Source organism: Homo sapiens, chromosome 6 (assembly GCF_000001405.40).
Source record: "Homo sapiens chromosome 6, GRCh38.p14 Primary Assembly".
Lineage (NCBI taxonomy): Eukaryota > Metazoa > Chordata > Mammalia > Primates > Hominidae > Homo > Homo sapiens.
The window spans coordinates 20,617,441-20,637,374 of NC_000006.12; the positions used below are offsets into that span (position 1 = coordinate 20,617,441).

The following is a 19,934-nucleotide window of genomic DNA, read 5'->3' on the forward strand; positions in this document are numbered from 1 at the left end:
AAGTTCTAGGGTACATGTGCACAACGTGCAGGTTTGTTACATAGATATACATGTGCCATGTTGGTGTGCTGCACCTGTTAACTGGTCATTTACATTAGATATTTCTCCTAATGTTATCCCTCCCCCTGTCCTCCACCCCATGACAGGCCCTGGTGTGTGATGTTCCCCACCCTATGTCTGAGTGTTCTTATTGTTCAATTCCCACCTGTGAGTGAGAACATGCGGTGTTTGGTTTTCTGTCTTTGTGGTAGTTTGCTTAGAATGATGGTTTCCAGATTCATCTATGTCCCTGCAAAGGACATGAGCTCATCATTTTTTATGGCTGCATAGTATTCCGTGGTGTATATGTGCCACATTTTCTTAATCTGGTCTATCATTGAAGGACATTTGGGTTGGTTCCAAGTCTTTGCTATTGTGAATAGTGCCGCAATAAACATACATGTACATGTGTCTTTATAGCAGTATGATTTATAATCCTCTGAGTATATACTCAGTAATGGGATCGCTGGGTCAAACAATATCTCCAGTTCTAGATCCTTGAGGAATCGCCACACTGTCTTCCACAATGGTTGAACTAGTTTATACTCCCACCAACGGTGTAAAAGTGTTCTATTTCTCCACATCCTCTCTGGCATCTGTTGTTTCCTGACTTTTTAATGATCGCCATTCTAACTGCTGTGAGATGGTATCTCCTTGTGGTTTTGATTTGCATTTCTCTGATGGCCAGTGATGATGAGCATTTTTTCATGTGTCTGTTGGCTGCATAAACGTCTTCTTTTGAGAAGTGTCCGTTCATATCCTTTGCCCACCTTTTGATGGGGTTGTTTTTTTCTTGTAAATTTGTTTAAATTCTTTGTATATTCTGGATATTAGCCCTTTGTCAGATGGGTAGATTGCAAAAATTTTCTCCCATTCTGTAGGTTTCCTGTTCACTCTGATGGTAGTTTCTTTTGCTCTGCAGAAGCTCTTTAGTTTAATTAGATCCCATTTGTCAATTTTGGCTTTTGTTGCCATTGCTTTTGCTGTTTTAGTCGTGAAGTCCTTGCCCATGCCTATGTCCTGAATGATATTGCCTAATCTATTTTTGAAAGTGTGCATAAGGCTTAATGCTAGAAATTGGTAACATTTTGATCAAATTCATGACTGCATTCTTGAGAATAAGCGTGTCCAGGCATATTCCCTATTTGATTCCAGAATTATACCACTAAGATTTGTGCTCAGTTTTCATTTTATCAATTCTTTTCGTTTTTTTTTTGGATACAGGGTCTTGCTCTGTCACCCAGGCTGGAGTGTAGTGGCGCAGTCTTGGCTCACTCTAGCCTCGACTTCCCAGGCTCAGCTGATCCTCCTGCCTCAGCCTCCTGAGTAGCTAGGACCACAGGCACGTGCCACCACACCTACCTAATTTTTGTATTTTTTGTGGAGATGAGGTTTTGTCATGTTGCCTGGGCTGGTCTTGAACTCCTGAGCTCAAGCAGTCCACCCTCCTTGGCCTCCCAAAGTGCTGGGATTACAGGGGTGAGCCATTGCACCTGGTGATTTTTTCAGTTTCATATGAGAAAATATACTTCTATGATAGTGACAGGTACAAATATTTTACATAGCTATAAATTTCAGTTTAGATTATATTTGTCAATTGGATTCCATGGATATTATCTTTCCTTTCTGTTTAAACTATTTAAAGCTAAGCTACCCTCATATCACTTGTTATTGATAATTCAGATGTATCCTCAGATTTGTACTCCAAAGGCAACTTCAGAAACTTAAAACATGGTTCAGACTCTTGTGCATCTATAAAATTCTTTTGAAAAATAGAAAGCCAGAGGTTGCAAGGCTTTAGTTAGGAGTAAATTCAGGAGAACCATTGTACAACATGGTGACAATAGTTAACAATATATCGTATTCTTGAAAAATGCTAAGAGAGTGGATGTAAAAGTGTTCTTATCACAAAAATAACTATGTGAGGTAATGCATACATCAATTAACTAGATTTAGTCATTCTGCAATGTATATAGGCTTCTAAACATTATGTTGTATGTGATAAATACAATTCTATCTTCTAGTTAAAAAAAATGAGAAATTATTTTTGCCAAATAGCCCTAATAATCACCAGATAGTCACCAAATACCTTGCAGCAATATAAAATAAATGCAGATTTTGGTTATCATTTGTATCATTCATATATCCAATTTGACTGGCAATTCTTCCTTTTCTGAACAAATTTCAACCCCTTAATTTTCTCCAGTTTCATGGTGTGTCTATGCCTTGCTACAACCTGCTGAATCTCATACATATTTGACTGGTTAGGTCTTCCAGAGCCCTGCAGTTCCAAAAAAGATTTAATGAGGCACTTGTTTGTGAATTCACTAGCCAGTCATTTGATTAAATTAAAATGAAATTTCTGTGTTTCGCTTTTCTATATTTTAAATATCCCCCTATTTTCTATATGTATTCAAGTGACTTGGAAAGGTTATAGCACCATCTCTTAATGAAGGATTTTTGTGGAAAGCTAACTCACACCTCTCTTCTTTGACTTGAATAAACTGTTGTAATCTACTTTTGTCTGTTTTGTTCAATATAGGTAAATTATCTGTGCAAGCGAACTCACGTTTAGAGAGAATTTCTCAGTTTTCTTCCCGTAGATTCTCAGTCCTATTATTAGTTCATATGTGTTGGTTAAGTGGTAAAACAAGGCTTGGGCTGAAAGCCTTATTTTCCACATATACAGAGCCATAGCTTATACTGGAGAAAAGAAAAGTCACCTTAATCTTTTGGAGGGAAATGATGAAATCTGGAATAGTCATAACCAAACAATGTATATTTAACAAGATAGCTCAAAGACTTTCTATTTTTATAAATTTAACATTCTTTTAGAATGATTGAATTTAGAATTATTGAAAATAGCATAAATTCTTAAAGAATTTAAATGTTTGTGCCATTTGTTAAGCTTCTACAATATGCTGGATCTGCTCTTGTGACTTTGCATATATCATCTTTAATCTTCACAACGAATCTGCAAAATAAATATTATCCACATAAGATAGATGAGAAAGGTGAAGCTCCAGAGGTTAAGTATCTTGGCTAATGCCACACAGCTAATATATGATGGAGTGAGGATTTGAAGCTACATTTCTGAATATAATGCTCTTTCTTACTTCTGGACATTTGATAGTATTTGTTGAATGCTTGAAAGATGAGAAGACTAGCACACTTGTTTACTGGGTCTATATTTCCTGCCTGTCTAACACCGAATTTTTTTTTTTTCTGGAAGAAAACTTTTGGCTTCCTAATAGGTGCATTTTTTTCTGTTAATAATTTTATTTTTTCAACACTTTTAAAGAAAAATTGAATAGGTAGTATGGAATGCTCCTATAGGTGCCTCTCTTTCCCTGCCATAGCTTCTCCTATTATTTACATCTTATATTAGTACGGTATGTTTGTTACAATTAATGAACCAATATTAATACATTATTATTGAAGTCCATGGTTTGTTTTTATCTAATGTCCCTTTTCTTTTCCAGGATGCCATCCAGGACACCATATTACATTTACTTGTCATGTCTCCTTAGGGTCCTCTTGCTGTGACAGTTTCTCAGACTTTATTTTTTTTCCCCTAAAGCCTTTCCACTCTACCTTACTGCTGCCTCAGATTTACCATTTGCATTTAAGTACAATTGTAATTTGTTACTGATTACCTTGAGATTTTTTGGTGGTGGTTTTTCAAAGAGCTTTGCTACTACATACCTTGACATTTTTAAGGAATCCAGGTGTCCAGGTTATTATGTATTCTAGGATGTTCCTCTGTTAGAATATATGTAGTGTTTTTCTCATGATTAGCCTGGGATATGGGTTATTGGGAGGAAGACCATGCAAGTGTGCTGCCATTTTCACCACATCATATCCTGGGTATGTATTGTCAACACGATTTATGACTGTTGGTGTTAACCTGAAACCTGGTAGAAGTAGTGCTTGTCAGTTTTCTCCACTGTGAAGTTTACTCTTTTCTTCCCTCCCTTCCATACTGGAAGTCATTACATGAGCTTGCACTGAAGGAGTCGGGGGGTTGTGCTCCCCCTTTTTTAGAGTGGTGTATCTACATAATTTATTTGGAATTCTTCTACACAGGAGATTTGTGTCTTCTCCTGCATTTATTAATTTATTCAATCATTTATATCACTGTGGAGACATAGATATTTATTTTATACTTTGAGTTATAATTCAATACTACTTTATTTATTTTGTTACTTAAATTGATCTAGCTTTGGCCATTGGGAGATGACCCTGTCAGTCACTTCCGTGTCAGTCGCTCCTGTGTCCCTTTGCATACCTCAGTGTTTTTTTTTTTGACCACTTTTTGGCACTGCAAGATGCTCTGGGCTCATCTTGCATATTTCCTGCCCCAGTCTTAAAATCAGCCATTTCTCCAAGAAGCCTTGATTCCTTTTATTGAAGAGTAGTGTTAGAAACCAACATCTGGTGCTGGGTGTGCTTATTACTGAGGTGTCATTTCTTTTAAACTCTCCCAGTGTCAGGGAAAAATGTGTATATACTAATCTTTAGATATAATACATATATAAAAATATTTCTATATGTGTCTCTATGAAGTTAAACATGAGTTCTTACTGATGTTTCCAGCTCTAATTTATTACAACTCCTAATATTTAAGTGATTTTAAGAACACTTTTTAAGTTTATGGCAGCTTTATTCTTTACCTTTTTCTTTTGTTTAGCTTTGCTTCTATATTTAGGTGGACTCTATTCACTCTCAGTTGTGTCGTATAAGGACTTCTCAATTCTTGAATTGTTTTAATTCTTCCTTGGGCTGCCTAATTTTTTATACACAAGTTTCCCCTACCCCAAGGAAAAAATTCTTCATGGTTACTATATTTTCTAATTTCTTACTTGTATGTTTGAAAATTGTATTAAAAAAACTAAGGATTGGATCCTATCAGTGAGATATTTGAGAATTATATCTGTTCACCTTTTAATTTTCACAGTATTGCTTTCTGATTTTGGATGGATATATTAGACAAAGGGGATGGAGAGTAGTGTTGGATTGATACTGAAATGTTTTTAGTTTTGCCTACTCTGCTTCTAGATGACAGTGTTCAAAAGCTTATAGTTTCAGTTTGGGTCCCTTCCCAAGTTAAGAACACTGTTGATGTTGTTCTTTGCTTATTTTATTTCTTGTGTTTAGTTCATTGGGTTCAGAGAGATACAGGTTCAGTGATTCTGTATTGTTCTGCCATCTTTACACTTGATCTTAGCCAAAAGGCCGAGAAGTGATATTCTGCTATCTTTTACTTTGACCAATATTTTCTTTCCCCTAAAGCCTTTCCACTCTACTGCCTCCTCAAGTTTACCATTTACATTTAAGTACAGTTGTAATATCTAGTTGCTATCTTTGCTGTTATCTAGTACAACTCTCATTTTATAGATGAAGGAGCTTAATTGATTATCATTTGCATTAGAAACTGACACACTAATTTTTTCCCCCTAATTGTCTCAAACAAAAGGGAAACTACTTTTCTTTGTCAGGCTTTTTTCAATAAAGTATTTTTATGTCTAAGCATATTTGTGGTGACTAATTATATTGTTTTTGTATGGATTTTTTGGGGAAGAAAAATGTACATTAAAAGTCTTCTGTTAGTAAGATAATGAAAGATAAATCTTTGTATTTCCAAGGCAAAGCAAGCATAACTTCTCTTCAAACAGATTGTTTTGGTCAAATTTGGTTGTTGCAGAAAGCCCATTCATTTTTTTAGTAACAACAGATAAAGAGCTTAACTAAAGTTGTGATGAAAATACATATACTTATTTGAGAAGACTGGTAATTTTTGAAAAGTCTTAAGATAATCAGTATAAAAGCCAACTTTTTAAGCAAAGAAAGTAAACTATTAAGTTTATGCAATGATTCATTTTGGATATTTGGAATAGGATATGACATTATTATATAACATAGTTTGTCAGCTTAGACTTATTTTGTAGCACTTAAGTGATTCAGTGTTTTAAGGGATTTAAAATGTGATCCTTTACAATACACTTTCCCAAAATCAGTGAGGAAAGGAAATTGCTATGTTATGTTCAAATCTTGTTAAAATCTTATTGCTATAGTTTACAGAAGAGGTATAGTGATTTTAAAAATATTTATGCAGTGCAAATGCTTGCTGTATATGTTTTACAAAGTGAATCAAAGTTGGAGGGTAGTTATTTAATAGGGGAATATTTGTTGGTTCCTAAGTCATGGTTTCTGAAATAAAGAAAAATAGCAGTATGCAGTAGACCTTTATTTTATTATCAGTCTATTTTGATGTGCTTTTAATAGCACTGGTGATTAAAGTTGCAGAGTCTGGAGCCAGACTGTTAAGTTCAAATCAGTGTTCCACTATTTGTAATGTTTGGCCTTGGCTTACTTAAGCCCAGGTTCTTCATCTGTAAAGTGGGGCTAATCATGTACTTGCCTTGTAGAATCCTTATAAAGATTGAGTGAATTTATGCATGTAAATCTCTTTGATCCTGGCACAGAGAATATGCTCAATAAATGATAGCTATGGTTATATTTTTTTAAAGGAGTATGGGTTTATTATTTATGTGTTTTCTTTGAAGGACTGATAACCTTTGACATGAGGCTTATTGTAGAGTTCTTTTCTTGGTATTAGATCTTGTGCAGTTTGGGAGAGTTTACTATTTAATTCAAGCAGTTTGTTTTCAAAATTTATGAGCAGACATTTGGTGGTTTGGAGTGACTACAAGGATGAGGAAGTATAAACAGAGATAGGTAGTCAGTTCTTGGTAGATACCTTTTTCTTTTTTTAAAAACACTTGAGAAATACTATTTAGAACTGAGACCCATGTAGACAGCCACCACCATACTGTTCATCATTAGCCATACCATTCCCCATCATTAGTTAAGGAAATGCATTCGATTTTTAAGTTTTTTCCCCCCTTTCTGTGCTGTCTTTTTTTCTCTCCTGAGGATGCTTCTTGTATCTTTGCTTCTGACTTGAGGGCAGGCCAGGCAGATAATAAGTGTATAGCTGCTGCACCATTTTATATACATGTGAAGGTCCTGCTTTTGATGTAATTGGGTCTCTGCTTCTCTTCACCTTAATGTTCTTAACAACTTGCTACCACCATGAGCCCCACAAACTCATATGACTTGGTATGATCTCACTGATTAGATCTGATGGTAGAATTAATTTAAAACCACCCATTTTTACAATTGACGAGAGTAGTGGGAAAAAAAAACTGTGGCATGAACATTGAGAAGCATTTCAAATTCCATGTAGATGGCATGCTACTCAATTTTTTACATAAGCTTCTGTATTTAATTTTGTATAAGAACAAATGCCTGCGGAGTATATAGAGGCCAAATTTTTGTTTGTTTGAGTTTACTATATTCACATCAACAACTGGAATTAGGGTAGGCTGTAGAATAGAAATATCCTCTTGGTAATAATGCAGCAAAATTCTGTCTGTAAGGCTTTTATGCTTTTTGGCACAGGTCATATGATTGTGGTTTAGGAAATATACTCACCTCCTCTCTTCATCTGTTTTCTGAGTCCTAATGTGATTTCCCAGAATACCTAGCACATATAATTCAAAAAGACAATATTTGTCTTTGCTCTGGTTGCAGTAAGATAAAACTCTGAAGAATTCTGGGTTAAGATGTTACAGAAAGTTAATTTCCAGGAAAAATTACTCTATTGGAGAAGGTATAGCTCTTTCTAAGAGTATTCCATAGATGAGACTGGTATCTGTTTTTGTAACTCTATTCTTACATATTCTATTCCACTTCAGCAAACTTCTTTTGAGTAGATGATAAAACTCTTAAATTTTTTACCTGGGTGCTCTTATCTATCAAATATAAAAAAGCCTTTAGAGAAAAATGTATTGGTGACTTCAAATAGTTTAGTCAATACGCATCCATTTTGCATTTTTGGTGTTGGTTAGTTGAAGAAGAATTTCAATGGTGTGTGTTAGTCTTGTGTGGCTCTCATAGTTACCGCCTGGGCAGTATGTGGAATTCACTAAATGAATTGAAAAGTTCTGAATATCTCTTTAACTTATGACAAATCCCTGAAAATCAGTGCTTTCTGATGAGTCAAACTATATAGGTAGTATATAAAAAGTCAACATATGCTATACGGGACAGTTTAATAAGCATTTAGAGTATTTGGCTCAAATGTGTTCTGTGTACTTTAATCCTCTTCTGTGATTTGTAATATTTAGATCCATTTTCCCTATTGGGTTAGGTGGAAATAAGGCATTGACAGTCAATGAATTGCTTTTGGGTAGAGCTCAACATAAAACAGATTTTGCTGTAGTAAAGATTATAGATTATCATCTTAGAAGAAAATGTAGACTGTTATGTGAAAAAAAATGGCCAGATTTTGTAAGATTGTAATTGGGAAACTCTGCACCCCTTTGACCAATTTTAACTTATTACTCTTTCTTACTAGCTTAGGCTTAAAACAATAATGCTGTCTGCAAGATCTGCCTTTCTTGTGATCCCCCCATCCCCAGCCATTAAATTCTAACTAGGATCTATGTTTTCTTCTCTGGAGTTACTTTTGGTGGGTGGTGGAGGGTCCCACGGATGTGAATAAGTTCACTTTCCCCTACTTCTTTTATTTTGTAATTATTTTACTTCTAAGTTCACTTTTGTTACATTTTTTTCTTCCTTGACTCACTGAGTTAGAGTTAGTCTCATTGTTCAGAAGCCCTCTTCCTTTATAACTTCTTTTTTTCCAATGCCTCTGTTATATGCAGAACTTACCTTCATTGCCTCATAAATATTGGTGTTAGGAGACATCATCCCTCATCTGTCTCATTTTGCAAATAAGCTTCCTGCTAGAAAGTTGGCTAGATGGAAGCAGAGACCTTCACTAAAACCTTGATCCTCCTCTGTTTTCCCAGCACATAGTAGGTACTCAAAAATACATGTTGAATGAGAGAAAGGAAATGAGATCCAGAGAGGCTAAGTGAAGTAATATATGAGAATATATAACATGTAATGTCATGAATATATGTTATGAAAGTACTAAAAGGCTCCAGAAATGTTAGTTATTTGTTGTTAGTATTAGTGTAATAGTAAATTACCATTAATAATATTTTAAAACTTATTACTAGATGATATAGAGATACTTTTCATTGTATGTAACAGAATACCCAATCGATAGTGACTTAAACTAATGAGGATTCATTTTTACATTTTGAGGGTAGATATCTGCCAACATTGACTTAGCTGCTCTGTAATGGCAGGGCTATTGTTCTGTAATTTTCTTGGCCTTTCCTTACTTGTTGCAAGATGGCTGCTTCTGCTGTAGGCATCACCTTTCTGTTTGAAGCACCAGGAAAGGGCATGGATCAACAACAGCATCTCTGTTTTACCAGGGAACCAAAAGCCTTCCTGGAAGCTGTGTAGTACAACAGTCTTCCCCTTAAGTCTTATGGCCAGACTGTTTCACATGGCCACCTCTATCTGGAAGGAAGGCTGTGAAAGGGAGTTGGCTTTTCTAGCCTCTACTGTAGACGGGGAAGGGAGAAGGAGTTTGGAAATACATTCTGGGTTTGCTGCAAAATCTACCTCTTCGGCTAGCCCAAATCCGAATATATCCTTCTTATGAATACATTTTATAGAGAATTCAGTCACCATCTCTCCCGGGGAGATGATACCTGTTCTTATACATAATTGCATCTACTTCAAAGTCCAGAATGTCTGCTTGATACATAGTTTTCTCCATCAGGTCTAGTTGTAGCTTGTTGTCCTCTGGTGACCTAGAACTAAGAAGACAAATATATACTTCCAGCACATCAAAAACTACTAGATAAAGGAATGAGATAACTCAAATAAATCTTTTCCTTTAGAAAAGGGGAGAATTAGAAACTCAAAATAGTCATTGGTCCACAAATATACCATACTCTGTAGGATAAGAATATTGAAGATTTCCTGTTGTGGCAGTGAGTGAAATTCCTTAAACAATCTGCTATACTTATTTATGATCCCTGGGAGGTTTCCCTTGGTCACATCTGACCAGAAAGTATTGATTGGTGTAGCTGTATAATAAGTCAGGTAGACCAGTTCCTTCCACATTATTCTTTTCCGAATTGTTTTGGCTATTTTAAGGACTTCCCCTTTCCATATAAATTTTAGAATAAGTTTGTTTATGCCTACTGAGAACCTTGCTAGGATTTTTGATAGGAATTACGTTAAAGTTATATATCAATTTGAGAAGAATTGATATCTTTACTATGTTGAGTGTTCCAATCCATGAATTTGATAAGTTCCTCTGATAATTTGGAGAGACTTTAATTTTTTCAACACAATTTTATAATTTTTAGCATGTAGATCCTGTGTATGTTTTGTTAGCTATACACCTAAGTATTTCATTTTCTTTGGCACAAAGAAGTATAATTGGAATGGCATTTGCCTTTTAAAATTTGTTTCATTTGCTGTTAGTATACAAAGGTCATGATTTTTGTTTGTCAATCTTAAATTCTGTGACCTTGCAGAAGTCACTTTATTCTAGGAGTTTTTTGTTGTTGTTGTTGTAAATTCCTTGGGATTTTCTAGATAGACAATCATATTATCTGTGAAAAGAGACAGTTTTATTTGTTCATTTCCAATCTATATGCATTTTATTTCCTTTTCTTGCTTCATTTTCCTGGCTATAATTTCTTGTACTATGTTGAGTATGAGTGGTGAGGGTGGTCATCCCTACCTTGTTCCTAATCTTAGGGAGAAAGAATTTGTCTTTCAATGAGTAAGTCTGATGTTACCTCTGGGATTTTTTGGTAGATGCTCTTTATGTGTTTGAGGTAAATCTTGTCTAGTTCTAGTTTTTTTGAGTGTTTTTACCTTGAATAGGTGTTGGATACTTTGTAGATATTAAAAATACTATGAAGGGAGACTGGATTATTCTTTTTTAGCTGGAAATAGAGTAGTATGTGAATTAGAATGATAAAGTCTGACTGTTGTCTCAGGCATACAATACTTAAGGCACCAAAGACATTAACTGGCTCTGAATCAACTTCATGTATTTCTCTATTTAGGGAAAGATTTATTAACATAATTACATGTGACTATTCTTTCTTATTTTGGCTTTTAAAATAGATGTTCCTTTAACATAAACATTTTTAAAAAGCATACTTTGTCAGTATCTTTGTCGGTTCTGCCACTGATATTGTTCCCATAAAACCAACCCTTATTTTACTTTCAGGGAAAAAAAAAATACTTCATGTGGTTAAAGAATCATGTTGTATGTTTTATAGTGCCTTCCATGCTCTTGCAATTTTCCAGTGACAGCTATATATTCTTACATTGCAGAGCAGCCTGCCTCTTTAGTCTTCGTTTCAAAATAAAACCAAAAAGAAGAAAAAATTACAGAAATGTTGTTAAGAATAGTACAAAACCCTTTTTTTTTTGTTTTTTGCCTTCTGAGTCATTTGATAGTGAGCTGTTTACTTGATGCCCCATCATCCCCAAATACTTTATTGTGTGTTTCCTATAAAATTATTCTCCTACGCAACTACGACAAAGCCATCAGCAACAGGGAAATAACACTTAGGCATTACCACCACCTAATCCTCAGACTTCATTCATCTTATTCCCTTAATGTCCTTTATGGCAAAAGAAAGGATTCCCTTTGAAATGTCTCTTTAAGATTTCTTTAATCTGGACTAGTTTCTCTCTCTTTACTTGCCTTTATATCTTTGACATTTTTTGAAGAGTACAGGCCAGTTACTTGAGTGATTGTGTCTTGATTTGGCTTTCTCTGATGTTTTCTCATGAGTAGGTTCAAGTTATACATCTTTGGCGGGAAGATCTTCAGAAATGATGCTTTTTTTCTCTCTCAGTGCATCTTATCAAGTAACACCTGACTTTGATTTGTCCTATTATTGGTGATGTTAACTTTGATCAGTTGATTAAGGTGGTGTCTGCCAGGTTTCTCCACTGTAAGGTTATTTTTTCCTCTTCGCAGTTAAATGTATTTTGTGAGGAGGTTCTTTGAGGCTATGTAAATTTCCCCTTCCTCTTCAAACTTTCACCCCTCTTGAATTCCTGTGCTCTGCACCTTGCTGTCCCTCTATAGGAATGCCCTTTTCACCCTTTCTGGTTCTAACACCCAGCAAAGAGGCTCTTCTGAACCTGCACAGGCCATCCTGCTGCCTGGGAGTGATACCTGCCTCACTCCATTTCTGCTCTCCTGCCCAATATGGATGCCCTTTTCACCTCCTGGTCTTTGACACCCCAGGCCAGGCTGCCTTGTCATGCAGATGCCCATCCCATTGTGCCGCAGCTCTGTCACCCTGTGCTGGTTGCCCCCTGTAGAGATGCCCCATGTTCTTCTTGGGCTCTGAGACCCTGTGCTGGGCTGCCTGTCTTGGTGGATGCTCTTACCCTGCTCATACTTTTTTATTTTTTATTTTTGAGATAGAGTCTTGCCCTGTTGCCAGGCTGGAGTGCAGCGGCACGATCTTGGATCACTGCAGCCTCTGCCTCCTGGATTCAAGCGATTCTCTTCTCTCAGCCTCCTTAGTAGCTGGGACTATGGGCACCCACCACCACACCTGGCTAATTTTTGTATTTTTAGGTAGAGATTTGTATTTTTAGATAGAGTTTCACCATGTTGGCCATGCTGGTCTCAAACTCCTGACCTCAAGTGATCTGCCTGCCTCGGCCTCCCAAAGTGCTGGGATTACAGGTGTGAGCCACCACGCCACGTCCCTGCTCAGACTTTGATACCTTATGCCAAACTGCCCCTCTTTGTGGCCAGCCCAGCCCTCCTTGTGTCTCTGGCATTGATAGCCCATATTGATTCACCCTCCCATACAGAGGCCTTCCTCATCCTGTGTGTGCCCTGACACCCTCTTCCCCTTGGATGGGCTCTGATCACGTTTCCTAAGGCTGCTCTCTGCCTTCCCCCAGCTCAGCCACCTGCTTTTATCAGTCCCACCTATTGTCTTTATGCTGAATTTGTCTAGAAGGGTAGGGAGGTAAAAGGAACTGCAGTCCCTCTTGGTATTCTTAATCAGCCCCCTGTTGTTTGCTTTTTCACCTTTTTTTTTTTCTACCTTTTCATGAAGAGTGGTTAGAGATAATTTATAACATTTGAAATGTAAAATTATTTTCTTAGAAAAAACCAGGTGACTATAATCCTTTGAATAAATGTGCAAAGCCTGATGATTTTGGATATTTTCAAAGAAATAATCCCTGAATATTGGAGTGAAGACATCCCATATCACAGTACCTAATGTCAGATGGCAAATAGCTAGCATGGAATCAGCTTGCTTCAGTTCAGCCTGTAGAGCCAAAGATCCATCCTGGCACTGCCTTCTGGTTTCCAGCTTAAGACACCTCTTTGCAAGTCACAACATCTCTTTCTATTTCTGTTTCCGCATCCATAAGATGGGGGTTATAAATACTTAGGTCATGGGGTTGTTGGGGAGCTCAGATGAGATAATGCATTTGAAAATGCAAGTGGGAAAATGCTATGCAAATGTGGTTATTTAGTTCTAATTTATTACCTAGTCAAAATTGAAATGTATAGGAAATTAAGTCAAGCATTTTAATTGCACTTGTGATTTGTAGGCAAATTCCCTCTGAGTCATAAGGCAGATAAAAGGTCGGCATGGTTTTGTTTTTGCTGCCACTTTTAAGTCCATTGTGTTGTCACTATTACTCAACCAGGTAAACACTCCTCTTTTGAAGTTCTGCCCACCTGTTACGCCTCTGTGACATACTGCCACCTTCTAGATGATTTTTACCTCTGGTGTACAACTGTCCTCCCTACCCCAGTGCCTGTTTTCTGTCATCTTTGGTGACATCAGCTTCATTGGCCTTAACATGAGTTCTTTCATGCATCTACAATAGCTTGTGGCACAGTTCTGCTTGCATATATCACTGGTTAGGGATCTCAAAGTGAACATGTCTAATGATCAAGTTACACTCTTCTCCCCTGACCTGCTCCTCCCTAGAGCTTCCATTTATGTTACTGGTGTCACTCTTTGTATTAGCCTTGTAGATTGGAAACTTTTAACTCTTCCCTCTGTCATCTCCCATGTCTAGTCAGTCAGTAAGTTCTTTTATTTTTGCAACCATCTCTTCTCCACTTGAGCATCTATTTCCCCATAATTAATGGTGTATTCCTTTAAATCTAATCTCTGAACTCTTAAAATAGCCTTCTTCAAGGCAAATGTTAGAACCTCAGCTTGCCAGGTCCCAGACTGGTCCTCTGCTGAATAATTGGATGAAAAAGACCATGGGGCCTAAGTCACTTCTCTGAGTCAGCCCTTCCGGATGAACCAGTCAGATGTTACAGGACATGTCTCCAGAGACCTGTAAAAACCTCTAGATGGTAGGGTTCAGGCTTGGGGAAGAAGACTTACCATGTTAGGCCCAAACTCGTGCCTGGAAGCATCTAGAATCTGAAAGGACCTGTTCTGTATAGCATGAATTCCAGTATCTAAATATAGCAACTGTAAACATTTTGGTGCATTTTCTTTTATTTTTTCTTTTGCATGTCTATAATTATACTGTATGTGTTCATTCATCACATCTGTTAAATGAAAACATTTTAATGATATTTTAGTAAGTGCATTTTTAAAATTGGTGTGTAACACGGATGCCCCTTGACTTAGGATGGGGTTACATCCTGGCAAAGTGAAAATTCATATGTTGGAAATGTGCTTAATACACCCAACCTACTGAACATCATAGCTTAGCCCATCCTCTCTTAAATGTGCTTGTACACTTAAATTAGCCTATAATTGGGCAAAATCATCTGGCAAAACAGTCCACTGTAGATTATTAGTTGTTTACCTTCTTGATCGTGTGGCTGACTGGGAGCAGTGGTTCATTGCCCAGCATCTCGAGAGAGCGTTGTAGTGCATATCACTGGCCTGAAAAAGATGAAAATTCAAAATTTGACACATGGGCTCTACTGAATGTATATTACTTTTGCACCATTGTAAGGTTGAAAAATTATAAGTCGAATCATTGTAAGTTGGAGACCATCTTTGCTTCAGAGAATGAAAGATTGCTATCCATGTTTCTGTTAGAACAAGAAGATCCCTTCCAAGAAATACCAGACTCTCTGTCAGAGCTTAACCCCAGCTTCTGCTGAGAGTGTTTGTTTAGTGTTAATTTTTGATTGCTGACAACTAGTCTGTTTTTCTCCTACCTCGGTCATGATGCCTACTCATTAAGTTACCTTTCTGCTTTCTTGGTCTCGCTTATTTGTTCATTCATGTATTTATTCTTTTATTATTCATTCTCCAATAATAATAGCATAGTCTCTTCTATCTCCTGAGTTTGGCTCTGAAGACTTAAAGATTGCTTAGTTCATCGAGGGACTATTTATTTTTGAATCGTTGCCAGGATGTACCACGGGCCCATCTGTGGGCACATAGAAAGCAGTGCCTTCCTTTCTGAAGAGAGTAGAGAAAGCTTCCTGGGGGAGGTGACGTGTACACTGCTCTATGAAAGATGAGTAGCAGGAGTTGGTTAGGGCAGACAGGTGGAAGATACATTTAGGCAGTGGGCACAGAAATGAGAACAGTGGTGATGGTGTGGCTCCAGCTTACCTCTAGGTTTTTGTTTTTGTTTTTGTTTTTTAACAGCTGTATTGAGATAATAATTCCTATGCCATGAAATTCACTCATTTGAAATACACAGTTTTCATAGAGTCAATTTAAAACATTTTCAATACCACACAAAGACACTCCACATCCTTTAGCTGAGCCCACTCAGTCCTCCTATCCCTCTCAGCCCTAGGCAATCACCAGTCTACTTTCTGTGCTGTGGATTTGTCTCTTCTGGACATGCGTTTGAGGTAGAATCAGACAACCTATGTTCTTTTGTGCCTGACCTCTTTCACTTACATAATGTTTTCAAGATTCGCCTATGTTGTGTGTATCAGCACTTCATTTCTTTTGATTGCTGAATAATATTCCATTGCATAAATATACCACATTTTATTTATCCATTTATCACTTGATGGACATTGGGTTGTTTCTGCTTTTTGGCTATTAGGAATAATGCTGTTATTAACATTGATGTACAAGTTTTTATGTGAACACGTTTTCATTTTTCTGGGGTATATACTTAGGAGAGGAATTGCTAGATTATATGTTAACTCTCTGTTTAACAATTTGAGGAATTGCCAGATTATTTTCCAAAGCAGCCAAACCATTTTACATTTTGATTAGGAGCATATGAGGGTTCCAGTTCACGTCCTTGCCAACAGTTACTACTTTTAAAAAAGTATAGCCATCCTAGTAGATGTGAAGTGCTATCTCATTGTGGTTTTAATTTGTATTTCCCCAATGGCTAGTGATGTTGAGCCTCTTTTCATGTGATTGTTGGCTATTTATATGTCTTTGGAGAAATGTCTATTCAGATCTCTTGCCCATTTTTAAATTGGATTGTCTTTTTGTTATTGAGTTGTGATAGTATTTTCTTTTTAATTATGAAATTGGTAGTTGTTTTGACCAAGTAAGTTTGCTAGGTCAAAATCTAGAAGTGGTTCTTATATTGGAGATAATATTCTGCAGATTAATCTAAAGATCTCTTTTAAGATGTCTCTTTAAAATTCTATACTCTAGAATTGGTGCCGATCCTGGAAATGTACCATTCTGAGCAGATGACTTGTGTTATTGATTTGTGCCAAACAACTAAGGGTTGTGTATAATCTGAATGGAAAGCAGATGTTTTGGCAGTTTGCTAGTGAGTGGTTTTCTCTTGGTTAGGGCCTGCTCCTTTACTAAATAGAACTATTTTCAGTGTATCACTTTTCAAATATTTGAATAAGGAAGGAGATTTTTGGGGGACATACAAATTTATGGATACAATTGAATTTTTTGAACAACTTTATTATTTTATGTGTAGTAAATTCTCAATAACGACTTATTTTCTTTTTCATCAAAATAAATGTTTAACTAGCTGCAAATAGTATGTATCTTATTGACCCAGTTTTCAATTATGCATATGTACAGATTATCTATGACTATTAAAACAAACTCTTGCTTTCTAGTTTGTTGCTAGTTCCCTGAATTGCCTTAATGGAAACCATAGGGAGAAAGGAGATTATTGCAATGGTCCAGGTGTGACATGATGGCTTATACAAGAGTGGTGGTGGTAGTAGTGATAAGTAGCAGGTGTATTTCACATTATTTTGGAGATAAAATACATTGGGAATTGTTGGATTTGCCATGGAAGATGGTGAGGGGAAAGGAATGATTAAACATGATTCCAGCAAGGTGTGGTGGCTCATGCCTGTAATCCCAGCACTTTGGGAGGACGAGGCAGGAGGATCACCTGAGGTCAGGAGTTTGAGACCAGCCTGACCAACATGGTGAAACCCCGTCTCTACTAAAAATACAAAATTAGCCAGGTATGGTGGCTCATGCCTGTAATCCCAGCTACTTGGGAGGCTGAGGCAGGAGAATCGCTTGAACCTGGGAGGTAGAGGTTGCAGTGAGCCAAGACTGCACCATTGTACTCCAGTCTGGGCAACAAGAGCAAAACCCCGTCTCAAAAAAAAAAAAAAAAAAAAAGAAGAAAGAAAAAAAGGATGATTCCTAGGGTTCTGGTTTCACCATTTGGGGAGATGTGCCATTTATGGAACTGTAGAACACTGGAAGAAGTGAGGTTTAGTCATTTGCTTATTAGGTCTCAAATCCAATTCTCTGACCCTCTCAGTCCTGTTTTGTATTGCATTTCATAGGTATCCTTACCATTTGGCTTTTGTGAGTAGATCTGGACAATTGGAGGCACTGATGGAAGACTGGAGGGTAGGAGTAGGGAGAAGGTAGGGTATTTTTCTCCCTCCCTTTTTACTCCGGGTGGTGTCCCAGGAAGTGGCAGTTTCATTCCTGTGGCTTCAGCTGTCAGGGAGCTCCTTCCTTCCTTTGTAGTCCCTGGTCCCAAAGGGCAACTCCTGCTATTCTAGCCCCTGTCAAATGATCCCAGCTATTGGGCTCTTATAATACAGGTTGAGTATTTTTTATTCAAATGCTTAGGACCAGAAGTGTTTTTGATTTTGGATTTTTTTTTTCCAGATTTTGGAATATTTGCATTATACACTTACTGGTTGAGCGTCCCTAATCCAAAGATCCAAAATGTTGAATTTCCTTTGAGCATCCTGCGGTTACTCAAAAAGTTTCAGATTTTGGAGCATTTTGAATTTCAGAGTTTTGGATTAGGGATACTCAACCTGTACCACCTCTTCTAGTGGGTCTCCCCAGCCCTTAGGCTGGTAGTAGCTTCCTGCTGGGAAAAGGGAGGAAAGATTTTCCTCTATCCTCTTAGGGTCTTTGGCTGAGTCTGAAAATCAAATTGCCAAAGACAGATTAACAGAAGAAAAACATTCAAATTTATTTAAGTTTTATGTGACATGGGAACTTTCACAAGGAAATGAAGACCCAAAGAAACAGGTAAACTTTAGTATTTTTTATAGTAGGTTTGAAGAAGAGTGGAGAGCCATGGAGAAATATGGTAGGGTAAAAGAGTGTGATCTAATGGTAGTAAACTGGGGGAAACATAGTAGGACCTGATTTTGCCAGATTCTTCTGTGTCCCCTCGTCTTCAGAGATAAGGATGTTCCTTTCCTCTGGGTATAGGGAGGGCATGTCTCAGATGAGGGTCTTACAACCTGCTTCAGGGGAAGGTCAGAAATTTTCTTCTAGGTTTTATGACTTGTTTCAGGGGAGACAAGAGGGACAAGGTCAGAGAGACCTTCCTGCTTCTGCTATTTTTCAGATCTCTTCCATTTAAAATACTCACTATGTCGAGGTGGTATATTTTGGGGTAGTGTGCTCTGAGCCCCATCACTGCTGTTGTTCATTTTGGTGTTCCTTCCCATTCCCTGTTTGGAGTCTTGGATCTTCTATTGCCATGTAACCACATTTCTCTGTTAATTTGTATCTGTTTTAATGCTTAGAGTGGTTTCTTTTTTCCTAACTAGAACCTGATGAATACAGGGTGAAAATTTGAGAGTTCAATTTTGGAAATTATTTGTGTCAAGTTTAGTATTTCTGTGATGCATTCCAGTGATGTTCTTAGGTGAGTTGGATAGTGAGCTCAGATGCGTGTGTGAACTAGAAGTATAAATTTGGCTATCATCTCAGCCAAATGGTAGTATTTCAAACCATGGGAGGGATGGATGGGATCATCTAGTACACAGAAGAGAAGGGAATCCAAATCTAGGTCCTCTGAAACTCCGAGTCCTGAGAGGTGGGATGGGGGAGGGAGATGGATAAAGTAGAAAGGCCAGGGAGAGTGATGCTGTTGATAACATAAAGAAAGGATTGTTGGCGGGGTGAAGTGGCCCATGCCTGTAATCCCACACTTTGGGAGGCCGAGGCGGGTGGATCATCTGAGGTCAGGAGTTCGAGACCAGCCTGGCCAACATGGTGAAACCCCGTCTCTACTAAAAATACAAAAATTAGCCAGGTATGGTGGTGTATGCCTGTAATCCCAGCTACTCGGGAGGCTGAGACTGGAGAATTGCTTGAACCCGGGAAGCAGAAGTTGCAGTGAGCGGAAATCGCACCACTGCACTCCAGCCTGGGTGACAGAGTGAGACTCCGTCTCAAAAAAAAAAAAAAAAGAAAAAAGAAAAAAGAAAGGACTGTTTCACTGCTTTGTGCATTCTGCCAAATGTTTATGGTGTCAGTTACCTTGATGAAAGCAGTTTTAGGGACACGGTGGGTAGTTGAGGGTCTTCACCAAAATGAAGTGGTAGATGAGTGAATGTGAGGTGACAGAGTATAGCTCGTGCATAGAGAGAGTTCTTTCGAGATGTTTGATAATGAAGGGGGAGTAAACAAATGAGGAAGGCCGGGCACAGTGGCTCACACCTGTAATCTCAGCACTCTGGGAGGCCGAGGCGGGAGGATCACTTGAGGTCAGGAGTTCAAGACCAGCCTGGC

At 37.6% G+C, this 19,934-nt stretch overlaps 1 protein-coding gene across 12 annotated transcripts in view, besides 2 other annotated features; it reads left to right on the plus strand.

Annotated features, from left to right (window-relative positions):
• CDKAL1 (CDKAL1 threonylcarbamoyladenosine tRNA methylthiotransferase) overlaps nucleotides 1-19,934 on the plus strand; it is a 697,948-nt gene that overhangs the window by 82,984 nt on the left and 595,030 nt on the right. The window lies entirely within an intron of this gene.
• Nucleotides 11,769-12,542: an enhancer, noted in NCBI's record as "H3K27ac-H3K4me1 hESC enhancer chr6:20629440-20630213 (GRCh37/hg19 assembly coordinates)". NCBI's record gives its function as "activates a minimal SCP1, AML or CMV promoter by ChIP-STARR-seq in naive H9 embryonic stem cells {active_cell/tissue: H9 hESC(naive)}" and the evidence as "EXISTENCE:reporter gene assay evidence [ECO:0000049][PMID:30033119]".
• Nucleotides 12,543-13,315: an enhancer, noted in NCBI's record as "NANOG-H3K27ac-H3K4me1 hESC enhancer chr6:20630214-20630986 (GRCh37/hg19 assembly coordinates)". NCBI's record gives its function as "activates a minimal SCP1, AML or CMV promoter by ChIP-STARR-seq in naive H9 embryonic stem cells {active_cell/tissue: H9 hESC(naive)}" and the evidence as "EXISTENCE:reporter gene assay evidence [ECO:0000049][PMID:30033119]".